The sequence below is a fragment of the Homo sapiens genome, chromosome 20 (genome assembly GCF_000001405.40).
Source record: "Homo sapiens chromosome 20, GRCh38.p14 Primary Assembly".
Classification (NCBI taxonomy): domain Eukaryota; kingdom Metazoa; phylum Chordata; class Mammalia; order Primates; family Hominidae; genus Homo; species Homo sapiens.
The window spans coordinates 4,664,403-4,678,353 of NC_000020.11; the positions used below are offsets into that span (position 1 = coordinate 4,664,403).

Sequence of the window (13,951 nt, forward strand, 5' to 3'; positions counted from 1 at the left end):
CCTTCATGGGCAGGAACTGGAGTCGCTCATCTCATTCACCCTGCAGTTCATGGATGGCTAAGTGTTAACAACTTGGTGAAGGGTCAGGGTGACAGCCTCCTGCACCTGCCCTTTTTGACACCCAAGTTCTTGTTTGGTGTCCAGGAAGAATCAGGTCATATGAACTATTTGAAGGGTAGTATGTGAAGGATTTTACTGGGCAGTAAAAGTGGCTCTCAGCAGGACAGGGAATTGGAAGGGAGATGGTGCGGGAAGGTGATCTTTCCCTGAAGCCACACCATCTGAAGTTAACTATGTCTATCCGTAGTCGCCGACGCTCAGCCGCATGTATCCCTGATACTCAGCAGCTTGCAGCCCTGACCACTTGCATCAGCCGCTTGTGTTGTTCTTTCAGCTGAAGTCTTTTTATGGGCACAGCATAGGGGCGTGGCAGGCCAAAAAGGCAATCATTTGGGCAGAAAAATGGGGTCAGCTGTTTTCACGCAGGGCCGAGGTTCCAGGCTTGAGGGTGGAGTTTAGCTGGGAACCCAGACCTGCAGGGTCAGCTGCTTTCACTTAGGGCCAAGGTTCCAGGCTTGAGGGTAGGGTTTAGCTGGAACCCAGCCATTCTGTATCAGCAGGAGAATCACTTGAACCTAGGAGGTGGAGGTTGCAGTAAGCCAAGATGAAGCCACTGCACTCCAGCCTGGGCAACAGAACAAGACTCTTTCTCAAAAAAGAGCTCCTCCTGGAGGGAGGAGCTGTGGTGCTGGAACTCTGGAAACAACTCTTTCTGTGTGTATTAGCATCTGTGCATCAGGGCTGGTCCCAGCAGATCCGTCCTGTGACTCTCTTTCCCCTGTGGCCTCCCCTCCCTAGGAGGGAGATGGGGTTCCCAGCTGGCTCCTGGGCCCTCGTGTTGGCCTGTCCTGCCACGCTATCCTAACTGGTCAGGCCCATGGTTTGAGTTCAAGCAGCAATCCCAGACACATGCTCCCAGGGTTCTTGGATGTCACTAACAACCCTCACTTCTTTTACATCATTCAATTGGGCTGCATTCACAGACTGTTTCTCAATTTCTCCTCTAAACAGGTATGAGTTTCTTATAATCCCATTTCCAGGATGAGGGAGGCTGTCCTTTGGGCACTGATGTGGAGGATAAACTTGCAAAGCTCTCCCAGATAAAGAGAAAAATGATAAAGTGATGAAAAATGAGAGAGAAGATGATAGATATAAAAGTATAGAAACCAGAGATCAACCCAAGAACAGAGGGTGTTCCTGAGTAAGAAGCAACAACCATTAGACTAGAACAAATAATCAAAGGCATAATTAAGAAAAACCGAAACTGCCATTGCAAAATTATAACTGAAACAGTGACAGAGTTCTGAGCTAACCCACTCCATCTTGCTTCTAACCTCCAAGCTGCCCTTGTTCATTCCTGGGTGTAGGCTGAGCTAACTTTAGGAGGAATTTAGTTTATAGTTTATTGTTTGAAACAAAGATAGCATCCCTTTCAAAACAAACCCCCTTCTTGCCTGGGGACTAGACTGCCTTTGTATTATAGGACTAACAAATTAGTCAAAAAATTAGAAATTATGGTTTAAGAGTCATGCAGCTGGAGACAGATTCTGACCCTCCCCAAATTGCTCCTGGGGATAATATCACTATTGTAAAACCTAAGATCAGTGCTTAGGATATTTCGCAGTTCCTGCATTTGGTGAATCAGCTGGCACCACCCAGATTGGTAACTGGCTCGTCTGATCTTGTGGTCCCCACTCAGGAACTGACTCAGCGCAAGAAGACATCTTCGACTTCCTATGATTTTATCTCTGACCCAACCAATGAGCACTCCTAACTCATTGCCCCCCACCACCAAATTATCCTTAAAAACTCTGACCCCAGAATACTTGAGGAGACTGATTTGAGAAATGATAAAACTCGGGTCTCCCGTACAGCCAGTTCTGCGTGAATTACTCTTTCTCTATTGCAATTCCCCTATCTTGATGAATCATCTCTGTCTAGGCAGTGGGCAAGGTGAACCCTATTGGGCAGTTACAAAACTGTCCCAAGAATGAAAAGATTAAATCTGAATATTTAAATTCAAAGAACTCTTTACATTGCAGGAAACATCTGTGAAAAGAAGAGCTCTGTACCCAGGACATCCTGGCAGAATTCGATTTACTTTATTAAAAAGAAAATTAACTTTTCCATTATGAAAAGAATAAAGAATATACAAATATATTCTAAGAAAATACAGATTAGCAAAAGGAAGGAATAAAAATCATCCATTGCACTACCACCCAGAAAAATACTCTGTTAATGTTTTGGCACATCTCTTTTAGTCCTATTAATATACATATTATTTTTTACATAATTGCAATTTACACAATATCAAAAATTTAAATTTTCTATCATTTAAAAACACTTTTAAAATTATAAAATTAATACATGCTAATGAAAAGGTTTAAAATTGGAGGGAAAATACGAAGAAAAAGGTTGCCCAGAATCCACTTACCCAGAATTAACCACAGTTAATACTGGGGTGCATTTCTTCATAGCCTTATCTGCACTTTTGTACATAATCTAATCTAATTCTTTTTTTTTTTTTTTTTTTTTTTTGAGACAGAGTTTCACTCTTGTTGCATAGGCTGGAGTGCAGTTGCACAATCTCGGCTCACTGCAACCTCTGCCTCCCTGGTTCAAGCAATTCTCCTGCCTCAGCCTGCCCACTAGCTGGGATTACAGGCGTGCGCCAGCACGCCTGGCTAATTTTTGTATTTTTAGTAGAGACAGGGTTTTACCATGTTGGCCAGGCTGGTCTCGAACTCCTGACCTCAGGTGATCCACTGCCTCGGCCTCCCAAAGTGCTGGTATTACAGGCGTGGGCCAGCGCGCCCGGCTAATCTAATCTAATTCTTAAACATTGTTAATATGGAGCATTTCAGAGACTCCAGACAGTAAATGATGTAAAGGCTTATGGAGGGGATAAAAGGTTAGCCACAAGGTGATTTAATAGTCTTTCATTTTAAATAAAGCCTAAATACTCAAGATAATTCAAAATGAGTTTCAAACATGCAAAAACCCATACAAAACATGTAGTAACTCTTCTATTAATACCTGAGGTTTAAGTGGCTTAGCCACGATAAGCAGCATTGGAACGTGACAGCACACACTTGTTTAAGTTCCGTGAAGTAGTGAGGCTTTCATGACAAGCCTGTTTTCTGGTTCTAGGAGAGCCATACAAGTAGGAAAGGAGGAAGCAGAAGGGCCAGGCCTCATTACTACCACAGACCCCACATCATCCCATTAGAATTTGGACTTTGGGGCCCAAGCTGAATAAATTCTTTTGTACTGCAACAGTTTCATGGGGGAAGAGAGGCAAGAGCTGTGCTCAAAGGGAAACACATCGCCTTAAATGCTCTCATTGTGACATGAGGAGAAATGGAAAAATTAACCCAGCACTCAACACAGTAACATAAAGAAGACTGAAAGAAGAATGTAATAAAAATAACAACTAAGTGTGAGGGAGAAAATGAAAAATCTGTAAATTGATCAATCCACCCAAGAGCCAGTTTCTGGGCTGTGGGTCAATTCACCAGAAAACAATTTGCTGACAGTCAAATGCTCCCTCTCCCTCTGCCTTTGCACACTAGGGCCATCTTCTCATTGTGTCCTCACATGGCCTTTCCTGGGTGCACACATGTGGAAAGAGAGTCCTCTGTCTTCCTGCTCTTTTTTTTTTTTTTGAGATGGAGTTTCCCTCTTGTTGCCCAGGCTGGAGTGCAGTGGCGCCATCTCAGCTCACTGCGACCTCCGCCTCCTGGGTTCAAGCGATTCTCCAGCCTCAGCCTCCCGAGTAGCTGGGATTACAGGCACCTGCCACCACACTCGACCAATTTTTGTATTTTTAGTAGAGACGGGCTTTCGCCCTCTTGGCCAGGCTGGTCTCGAATTCCTGAGCTCGTGATCTGCCCACCTCAGCCTCCCAAAGTGCTGTGATTACAGCCATAAGCCACCACACCCGGCCTGTCTTCCTCTTCTTACAAGGGCACTAGTCCCATCAGGGGTTCTAGTTACTTCCCAAAGTCCCCACCTCCAAATACCATCATATTGGGGGTTAGGGCCTCAACATATGAAGGGGCGGCAGTCAGGGGCAGTGGAGGGAGAACACAAACATTCAGTCCATAGAAGATACAATTCTAAAAGACTGAATTTATCATCTGATGAATTGACTGGGCCTGCATGGGTACATTTTTAAAATAAGCTAGGAAGGGGGAAAGCCTTCTTAAGCATGAACATGAAACCTGGAAGCCACAAAGGACATGATAAATGAATGTGACTAACAATATTAAATTTATTAATTTTTTTTTATTTGAGACAGTCTCACTCTGTCACCCAGGCTGGTGTGTAGTGGCACAATCTTGGCTCACTGCAACCTCTCCCTCTGGGGTTCAAGCGATTATCCCGCCTCAGCCTCCTGAGTAGCTGGTACTATGGGCATGTACCACCACACCTTCCTAATTTTTTAAATTTTTAGTAGAGAGGGGTTTTGCCATGTTGCCCAGGCTGGTCTGAAACTCCTGACCTCAAGTGACTGCCCACCTCGGCCTCCCAAAGTGCTGGGATTTATAGGCATAAGCGCCTGGCCACAATTTTACATTTCTACACTGTAAAGGTATGTTTGTGCTTGTGTGTGTGTGTGTGTGTGTGTGTGTGTGTGTGTGTGTGTGTCTTAAATGAAATCAAAAGAAAATATCTGTAATGAAAAAGACCAAAATTAATTTCCCACTTATCAAAAAGTTTGCATAAATCAGTAGTGAGAAAAACCACCTTATTAAAAAAATTAGAGAAGTATGTGAACAGACTTATTACAGGGCAAAAAATACAAATGATCAATACACATGAAAAGATGTCCAACCTTCCAATAACATAAATTTGAATCACTAAATATAACTTTTTAATGTATCCAAGTACCAAAATGTAAAAGATTGATAATAAGTTATGTTGGCAACAGCGTGGAGAACACATGTGTTCTGATACCAGGAATGCAAATGGGTGTCCTTTTTTGTTGAGAAATCTGGCAATATCTATGAAAATTTTAAGCATGCCCACTTATGGAATGTGTCTTACAGAAATCACTTGCACAAGGAGGCAAAGATAATGTACAAAGATATTGTATATAGAAGCATAAATTCTTGGTGTTGGAAAGGAACCTGTGGGGTACCCAGTCCAAGCTTTGAGGTCCACTCCAGTGCCAGGATGCCCTGGGCTACATCCCTGACTCTCTCTGCCTGGGTGTCCCTTAGATCTTATATGGTTGGTGACTGTATAATCTAGTAACATATAGGCCTTTCAAACCATGAGCAGAATATCTTCAGGAACTTGTGTGAGCATCAGACACCTACTCTCCTCCGAGTGCCCAATGGTCCTTCACTGGGAGCACTTAAGGCAGCGTTTCTCAAACTTCAATGTACAAACAAATTATCTGAGGCTCTTGCCAAAATGCAAATACTGATTTGGTCTGGGATGGGCCTGAGATTCTGCCTTTCTAACCAGCTCCCAGGTTAGATGATGCGGATGCTGCTGGTCCAGGGACCACAGTCTGAGTAGCAAGGTCATGAGACGTACTCTATTTTCTACCTTTGGTCTTCTTGTTTTCACACCTGGGTTTTCCATCAAGTATGTAGGCATCAGTCCCGTGACTCTCATGTCCTACAGATAGGCCCCATGACTTGGTCATGCCCTTAGCATTGACCTCGTACACTCATGCTCCACTCCACTATTTTCACCATCTGTTCTCCTGTAGAGCAGGGTAGTAGGTGATGGCTGTGGCCACCACAGACTCCTAACTCAGACACCAGACCGTATGTCCTTCCTGCTCAAGGTCATCCCAGCTGCTCCTCAATATGCCAGGCAGACCGCATCTCTGGCACCAGCACTTGTTGCCCCCTGTGCCCAGAATTCCACTCTCCCAGACATCCACGGAGCTTGACTCTCATTTCCTTCTAGTATCTACTCAAATAGGAGAAAGCAGGGCTAGAGATGCAAATTTGGGTGTCACCAGCAAACAGATATTGTTTAAAACCATGAGACCAGAGGAGATCACTCGGAGAGTATAGACAGAGGCAAATGGGAGCCTTGGCTGAAGTCCTGTGGCAGCACCCACGTACAGGATGAGGAGGAGGAAGAGGGGGAGGCAGCAACAAGAGGAGTGCCAGTGGGAGACAAGGGAACCAGGTATGGGGCACTCAAGAAGCCAAGAGAAGAGCATGGCTGGAGAAGGATGGCGTGATCAGCACTCCTGTGTAAAAGCAGCAGCTTGAACACTCATGAAAATACCGTGGGCGGTGAGCACAGGGAGAATGGGGGAGGAGATGCAGCAAGGGCACTTTGGAGAGGTCACTAAGGTCGCTGATCCCTGGAGTCGAATGCTGGGTTGGCAGTGAGGAAGCCAAAGGCCTGCCCTATTTTTACCATTGAATCCCCAAAAGGCTGATTAATTGGTGACACCTGGCCCCTCTGGACATGAAGATGGAGGAAAAGGCTGAAGTAATGAGAACTGGAAAAAAGCTGTTTAAGGAATTGTCAGATCCCCAGATCTCCCCAACTCTGTTTAGCCAGATCACTGACTTTCTGCCCTCCCCTGCAGAAAGCCAGAGATTCATTTCAAGAGGGTGAATACAGGATCTGGTTAGGAGACACTGAACTCAGTGGAAAGCAAGGAGTCACACTGAGAACAGGAGAACTACATGAGTGTGGGCACTGCGGATGCTGGGGCAGCCCTATCCCATCCCCCAGCCTCATTCCTCATGCGGTTCCCAGAACGCCAGCCACCATCCCAACAGGAAGCAGAGAGGTTTCCAGTCAAAGGGCCCAGACAGTTGAAGCTGCCAAGCCCCACCTGTGCACTCGGAGCATCCAATCAGCTGTGAAGGGCTCACCCTTCCACACGAGCAGATTGCCAGATGGCTGAGGAAGAAAGGTACAGGAAAGATAAATCCCAAACCAATACAAAATAATCAACTGGAAGACACTGGAACTATACAAGGAGAAGAACACTTCAAAAAAAATCATGAGGGCCGGGCGCGGTGGCTCACGCCTGTAATCCCAGCACTTTGGGAGGCCGAGGCGGGCGGATCACGAGGTCAGGAGATCGAGACCATCCTGGCTAACACAGTGAAACCCCGTCTCTACTAAAAAATACAAAAAATTAGCCGGGCGTGGTGGCGGGCGCCTGTAGTCCCAGCTACGCGGGAGGCTGAGGCAGGAGAATGGCGTGAACCCGGGAGGCGGAGCTTGCAGTGAGCCGAGATCGCGCCGCTGCACTCCAGCCTGGGCGACAGAGCGAGACTCCGTCTCAAAAAAAAAAAAAAAAAAAAAAAAAAAAAAAAAAAAAAATCATGAACACTTTTACAGCCAAGAAATACTATCCAGGAAATGAGATAATGGAGCAGTGCCTACTAACTCTGAGTTACATTGTATGACACTTAGTTGATGTCTACCAGAGAATTGGGGTTTTTTTTGGTGGGAAGAAATCCCACATGTCAGTGACCAGAGGTGAAGTATTGTATAGTGAGTGTGAGTAGAAAATTTGTTTAAAGTTTGGGTGCTTTTTAAAAAATATTTCTTACAACTATATTTAGATGGTAGAAGAAAACAAATCCAGAAAGATTGCACAGCAGATGTGATATTTGAATGTGGAGCTGGAAGTATACCAAGGATTTCACCCAGGTGGACAAAGATAGGGAGAATATTCAAAGCAGAGACAACAATTGATACAAAAAAAAAAGATGAAAGGGGCCAGGCGTGGTGGCCTGTAATCCCAGCACTTTGGGAGGCTGAGGTGGGCAGATCACCTGAGGTCAGGAGTTTGAGACCAGCCTGGCCAATGTGGTGAAACTCCATCTCTACTAAAAATACAAAAATTAGCCAGGTGTGGTGGCGGGCACCTGTAGCCCTAGCTACTCCTCAGGAGGCTGAGGCATGAGAATTGTTTGAACCTGGGAGGTGAAGGTTGCAGTTAGCTGAGATTGCGCCACTGCACTCCATCCTGGGCCACAGAGCGAGACTCTGTCTCAAAAAAAAAAGATGAAAGGGTAAGCGTGGTATGAGATAGCACATCAACCCAAAATGGATTGGCATTCAACACCAAATAATTGATTTTCACTCATGCATCCTCAGGTTGCCTGGGATTGGGCCAACATAGACTGAGTTTGGCAGGCTTGGATCTCAATTGCAGGTTGGATCCAGGAGTATTTCATCCTCTTTGGACCAACAGCTGTCTAAGGCAGGCTCTTTTCATGATGGAGGCAGAAGAACAAGAAAACAAGCACATTTCAAGCCTCTGGACCCACCGCGTCCACTAACATGCCATTGGCCAGCATAATTTACATGGACAAGCTCAACACTAATGGGTTGGATAAGTATATTCCTCACTCACAAAAGCTTAAACTTTATTCCTGAACAATAAACTCTAGCCAGGTGGGGTGGGGAGCACCTGTAGTTCCAGCTACTCAGGAAACTGAGGCAGAAGGATTGCTGGACCCCAGGAGTTTGAGACCAGCTGGGCAACACAGTGAGACTATATCTCAATAAAGAAATAAATAAATAAAACAATAATAAAAGCCAACTCTTTAAAGTGTGTTTGGGGAATAACATGAACATATGTAACTTCTGTTTTTCAGTTAACTTTCTGTATGCATTTCCCTTATTTCCATCCTTCCTTCCTTCCTCCCTCTCTCTCCCTCTTTCTCTTTCTCCCTTTCTCTCTTTCTCTTTCTCTCTTTCTCTTTCTCCCCTTCCTTCCTTCTCTTTCTTTCTTTCGTTCTTTCTTTCTTTCTTGAGATGGAGTCTCACTCTGTTGCCCAGGCTGGAGCGCAATGGTGCGATCTTGGCTCACTGCAACTTCCGCCTCTCGGGTTCAAGCAATTCTCCCATCTCAGCCTCCCCAGTAGCTGGGATTACAGGCACTCACCACCATGCCCAGCTAATTTTTGTATTTTTAGTAGAGACTGGGTTTCACCACACTGGCCAGGCTGGTCTTGAATTCCTCCCAAAGTGCTGGGATTACAAGCATGAGCCACCATGTCTGGCCCCCTTGATTCTTTTATGAGATGAGCATGTGCAGCTACAAAAGGAAACACAGGAGAGGCTCAGGAAAAAACAAAGTCTCTTGTACTCACAGGTCCCAGAGACCGGAGGCATGGCAAGCCATGAAGGGCCACATGGGAGAGACACCAGAGTGGTCAGGAAGCAAAAGACAGGAGGAGAAAGCCGAGGCTAGAGCCTTCATTGGGGTTTCAGTGGGAAAAGCAGAACAGGGCAGGGTAAACAGTTTAGGACTGGTTCGTTTGCATAATTTGGTTGATCTTTGGCCTATAGTAGTGATCTCTAGTTGCCTAGTACCTGGCCCTGGGATGATTAAGGCAGAGGAATATTGCTTCCTGAGCTGCATGGGCCAGATAGGGAAGGTCTGGTTTAGGACTGGTTTGTTTTCATATCAAAGGCACGTTCCTGGCTGGGTCCTTCGTTATCTCTAAGAATTGGCTGGCCCAGGGGGGAACAGTCTCTCTCCAGCTAAAAAGGTTTTTCAGGATCAAAGTATACAGACAACTTAAAAAAAAACAAGAGTAAAAGTTATTTGACCAACATCAGCCATGTGTGGCTAATGAACACTTAAAATGTGACAGGTGTGATTGAGGAATTAAATTTTAGTTTTATTTAAATGTTTTAATGTAAATTTAAAGAGCACATGTGGCTTATAGCTATGGAACATGCAGCTGTGAACACTATAGTTAAAACTGACATTTTGATCTGAGGATTCCTTTTATTTAATCAGTTCTGAAACTATAGTTTTCTACATTTATATATTTGTTCTATTGTGAATTTTAGGATTTATTTTGATGATGTACTTTTTCTTTGTGAAGTTTAGAAATGACCATGGGGGTCATGTGGGCCAAATTAACTCAATTCCTGGACAAAAACTATTTCCCCGACCACCCCAAGCTTCTTGCCAATGTGCGCCCTTGGGACAAGAAAGGCTAGGAGAAGCTGTGGACAAATTAAGATAAACCTGGCAATATCATTAGACAAATAACCCAAAGTGAATCCCTCTTCTGATGGTCAACATCAGATGGTCACACAGAAATGTTATTTTCCTATGAGTAATTTTGCATTATTGTTACATATGATTTCCACTTACAAATGCCACAAATATTATGCAAGTACCTCTCTACTGGGAAGGAATATAACAATTCTAACAAATAAACATAAAAGCAGTGTGTACATAAGAATGCCTCTATACAATTTTTTGAGCATCAAAATCTTAGAAAGTTGAAAAATACCAATGAAATATAGCATTCTTATTCTTTCTCATTTCTTTTATCTGTTCTTTAGAGAAAAAAAGATGGAGCAGAAAGCAAGAAAATTGTCCAACAGAATTATTGCAACTGACTTAGTTTCTTATAAACAAAGAATGCATTGAAAGAGAAAACCTTGCCTCAGCAAAGTATATTACACAATAAGAAAGAAGAATTTCAAAGATAATAGAGATAATTTCTCACAGATGTCTGACCAGAAAGAAATTCTCAACTTTCTAAACTTTTCTATCATAATTTCACATATTTCTCTGGTTCATTTATAAAGGGAAAATAACTTGAGAATATTCCAAGATGAATACATCAGCACTCACATAGGTAACCAGAAACATGGGGTGTTAAATCAATTACAGGAGCAGCTGGGTTCCTTATCCAGATAAGACAGCGAAAAAAGACCAAGAAGCCAGTAGCCGGTGACTTTAAAAATTGTTCGAATATGCTTCCTCCTCACTTTGTCTCTTGAGGTTCTTTGTAAAAGCCAGGGTTTCACAATTAACTTTACAGCAATCAAAAAGCTTTAATCAGTCACTAAAACAAATGCTATTTTCACTTATCAAATTGGTAATAATTAGGAAAAAAGTGATAATATCATGCTGGGATATTCAGAGCACGCTTTTGTGGGAATCTAAATTGGTGCAACCACTTTGGCTGCATGCCTCAAAAGCTTAAAAATATGCCCATCTTTTCTGCACCTTCTACTCCTGACAACTTATTTAACTACAGGGATGTTCTTCCCAGCTATGTGATATACAGCCATTAAATGGCTGAATACTATGCAGCCATTAAAATATTGTTGCAGAATATATTGTGATATGGGGTGGAGGTGGAGCCTAGCTCAAAAATTATGATTGTATTTGGGTAAGGAAAAATTATATGTATACATAAAAGTAATATGAAGGGGATAGACTTATGAATATTTTATAAATATTTTAGATATTTTCTTCATTTTCTTTTATTCTTTTCTTTAGTCTTATCTATATTTTCTAATATGTCTATTTGATATGTATTGCTTTTACAAGAAAAAATAACTTCAATGATCCTATAAAAGGAGGAGAGAGTGGGGAGCAAGTGTTTTAAATACTGCGACATGAGGCTGTGAAAGCTCTCAGAATCAAAATGAAGTCACCTATGTTAAAAATCCCAACAAACAGAGCCAGACGAGACCTTGAAGAGAGGGTTGTCATGTACAAAAACTATTGCAAGACTGCAAAAATCACAACCTTGCACAAAGTCCATCTCAACCTTACGCAAAAAAATACCTCTACAAGGACATCTGCCCAGCAACTGCCTGTCCAACCTCAGACTGGTGCTACCCTCGTTATTGAACCTTGTAGTCAAGGATAATTAACCCAAAACAGTTATGTAACCCTCCTTATTTTTCCTCTAAAAACCCTTGTCTTCCTTTACCTCCCTGAATAGGTACATAGTGTATTATAGTACATGCATTTCCATCGCAATGCCTATTCCCAAATAAATATCATTTTCTTTTCAAAATGTTTGTTATTTAGGTTGACAAGGCCTGGCTGCCCACTCCGTGGTGGTTGCCATCTGTTGCTTTATTATAACAAACTTCATTTAACTCAAGCCAGGCTGAGTGGCTTTCTTTATCTTGCTATCGATGCTCCCTAATACTCTAACCCCAACTTTGTATCATCTGGAATCCGGAGATATTTTTTAGCCAAACAAGAAACCCACATGTTGATTTGTAACATTTCAGCAGCACCACCTGCATCACCAAAGACTTTGAGACTTATGGAAATAAATTCAAATCCTCAACATCTGGAATGGTTGAGACACATGTATAAAGAACAGAAATTTATTTCTCACAGTCCTGGAGGCTGGGAAGTCCAAAATCAAGACTCTGGCATGTTTGGTGTCTGGTGAGGGCTGCTCTTTGCTTCCAAGATGGCACCTTGATGCTGCATCGTCTAGCGGGGAGGAACAGTGTGTCCTCACATGGCACGAGGCAGAAGGGCAAGAGGGCCAGACGCTGCTGTGTGAAGCCTCTTTTAAAAGGGCCTGAATCCCATTCACAAGGAAAGAATCCTTGTGACTGAATCACCTCTTAAAGCCTCCACTTCCTAATACTGTCCCATGGGCCATTAAGTTTCAATGCCTGGGCCGGGTGTGGTGGCTCACACCTGTAATCCCAACACTTTGGGAGGCTGAGGCGGGCAGATCACCTGAGGTCAGGAGTTTGAAACCAGCCTGGCCAACATGGCAAAAACACTGTCTCTACTAAAAAATACAAAAATTAGCCGGGTGTGTTGGCACGTGCCTATAATCCCAGCTACTTGGGGGGCTGAGGCAGGAGAGTCACTTGAACCCGGGAGGCAGAGGTTGCAGTGAGACAAGATCATGCCACTGCACTCCAGCCTGGGGAACAGAGCGAAACTCCGTCTAAAAAAAAAAAGTTTCAATGCCTGGATCTTGGAGGGGACACATTCAAACCGTAGCACCATTTTATATTATTTGTGGATTAGGGTTAATACTTTGTCATCTCAGACAAACCATTTCTAAGAAGGTAGAGGTTTGCGTGTGAGGCTTGAGCCACAGGTATGACACTCCATTGTCATGCACAAATTGTTACTTCCTTAAGATATGATCCAACAGACCTGGAGACCTGAATGCATTTAACACAAATGAAAGTTTCTGCCTCCTCCCTCAGCCCATTTGAGCTTCCATTTCCCTCTGACCCAGTGCGCATTCTACCCTTTGCAGTCTCAAGATGCTTCTCCCTGGCAGAAAAATCAAAAGCAAAATATGAACAAGTATAAGCCAGAATTTTCAGAGTAACTTTCCAGATTGCTTCAAATGGCAGCATTTCCAATCCTGGTTTGTCTCATTTGCTTTATTCAATAAAAGAACAAGAACAAGAACAAGAAAAAAAGAACACTACTGTGTATGAGCTTTGACATCACTTCTGACCATTTTTACTTTCATGTTGTTAATTTTGCCATTTGATTTTGTTTCCATTACATGCTATTAACTTCTGTTCAGATGTCACTCATTTAAAAATGTGGGGGTATTTCCCATTGTTGTCCCAGTCAGGCAATTATAACTTAACCTAAAGACAGCCCTGCTCTCAGGTCAGCCTTGCCATAAAGTCCGATTCAAAGAAATAACAGTCCATCAGAAAAATGAAAACCATTAAAATCTTTGTGTGTCTCTCAAGAAAATACCACAGGATGAGTAAACAAAGCTGAAAACAAGATAGAGAATAGAGTCTCTCAAGAAAATACCACAGGATGAGTAAACAAAGCTGAAAACAAGATAGAGGATAGAAGTTGATAGAGAGTTAGAATTTTAACATGTGACACGCCATTAGTAAGTGTTTTGAACACCAAGGGTTTGGAGGGAAAGAACTGTGTGGTCAGGACAGCAAGCCTGGAAGCTGACCCTGGCTGGCAACACTCAAAGTAACAAGACAAAGATCTAGCTGAGGGAGGAGGCTCAGAGGGCCTCAGGATGCTGCCATCCTAATGAAGAACAATCACACGGAGGGTGAAGGCAGTGTTCACCCTCTGTGTGAACACATCCTCCTAAGAGGATGCACTGCCCTCCTCCTAGAACACTGTGTGAGGGATCCCAGCTAC

The 13,951-nt window shown here is 43.3% G+C and overlaps 2 annotated features.

Annotated features, from left to right (window-relative positions):
* Positions 1,758–1,959: a silencer, noted in NCBI's record as "fragment chr20:4646806-4647007 (GRCh37/hg19 assembly coordinates)". NCBI's record gives its function as "represses an EF-1alpha promoter that drives an FKBP-Casp9 reporter gene in an ReSE screen in HepG2 liver carcinoma cells and K562 erythroleukemia cells {active_cell/tissue: HepG2 | K562}" and the evidence as "EXISTENCE:reporter gene assay evidence [ECO:0000049][PMID:32094911]".
* Positions 9,063–9,747: a transcriptional cis regulatory region, noted in NCBI's record as "candidate enhancer chr20.345 targeted for multiplex CRISPR interference". NCBI's record gives its function as "positively regulates PRNP gene expression in K562 cells {active_cell/tissue: K562}" and the evidence as "EXISTENCE:mutant phenotype evidence [ECO:0000015][PMID:30612741]".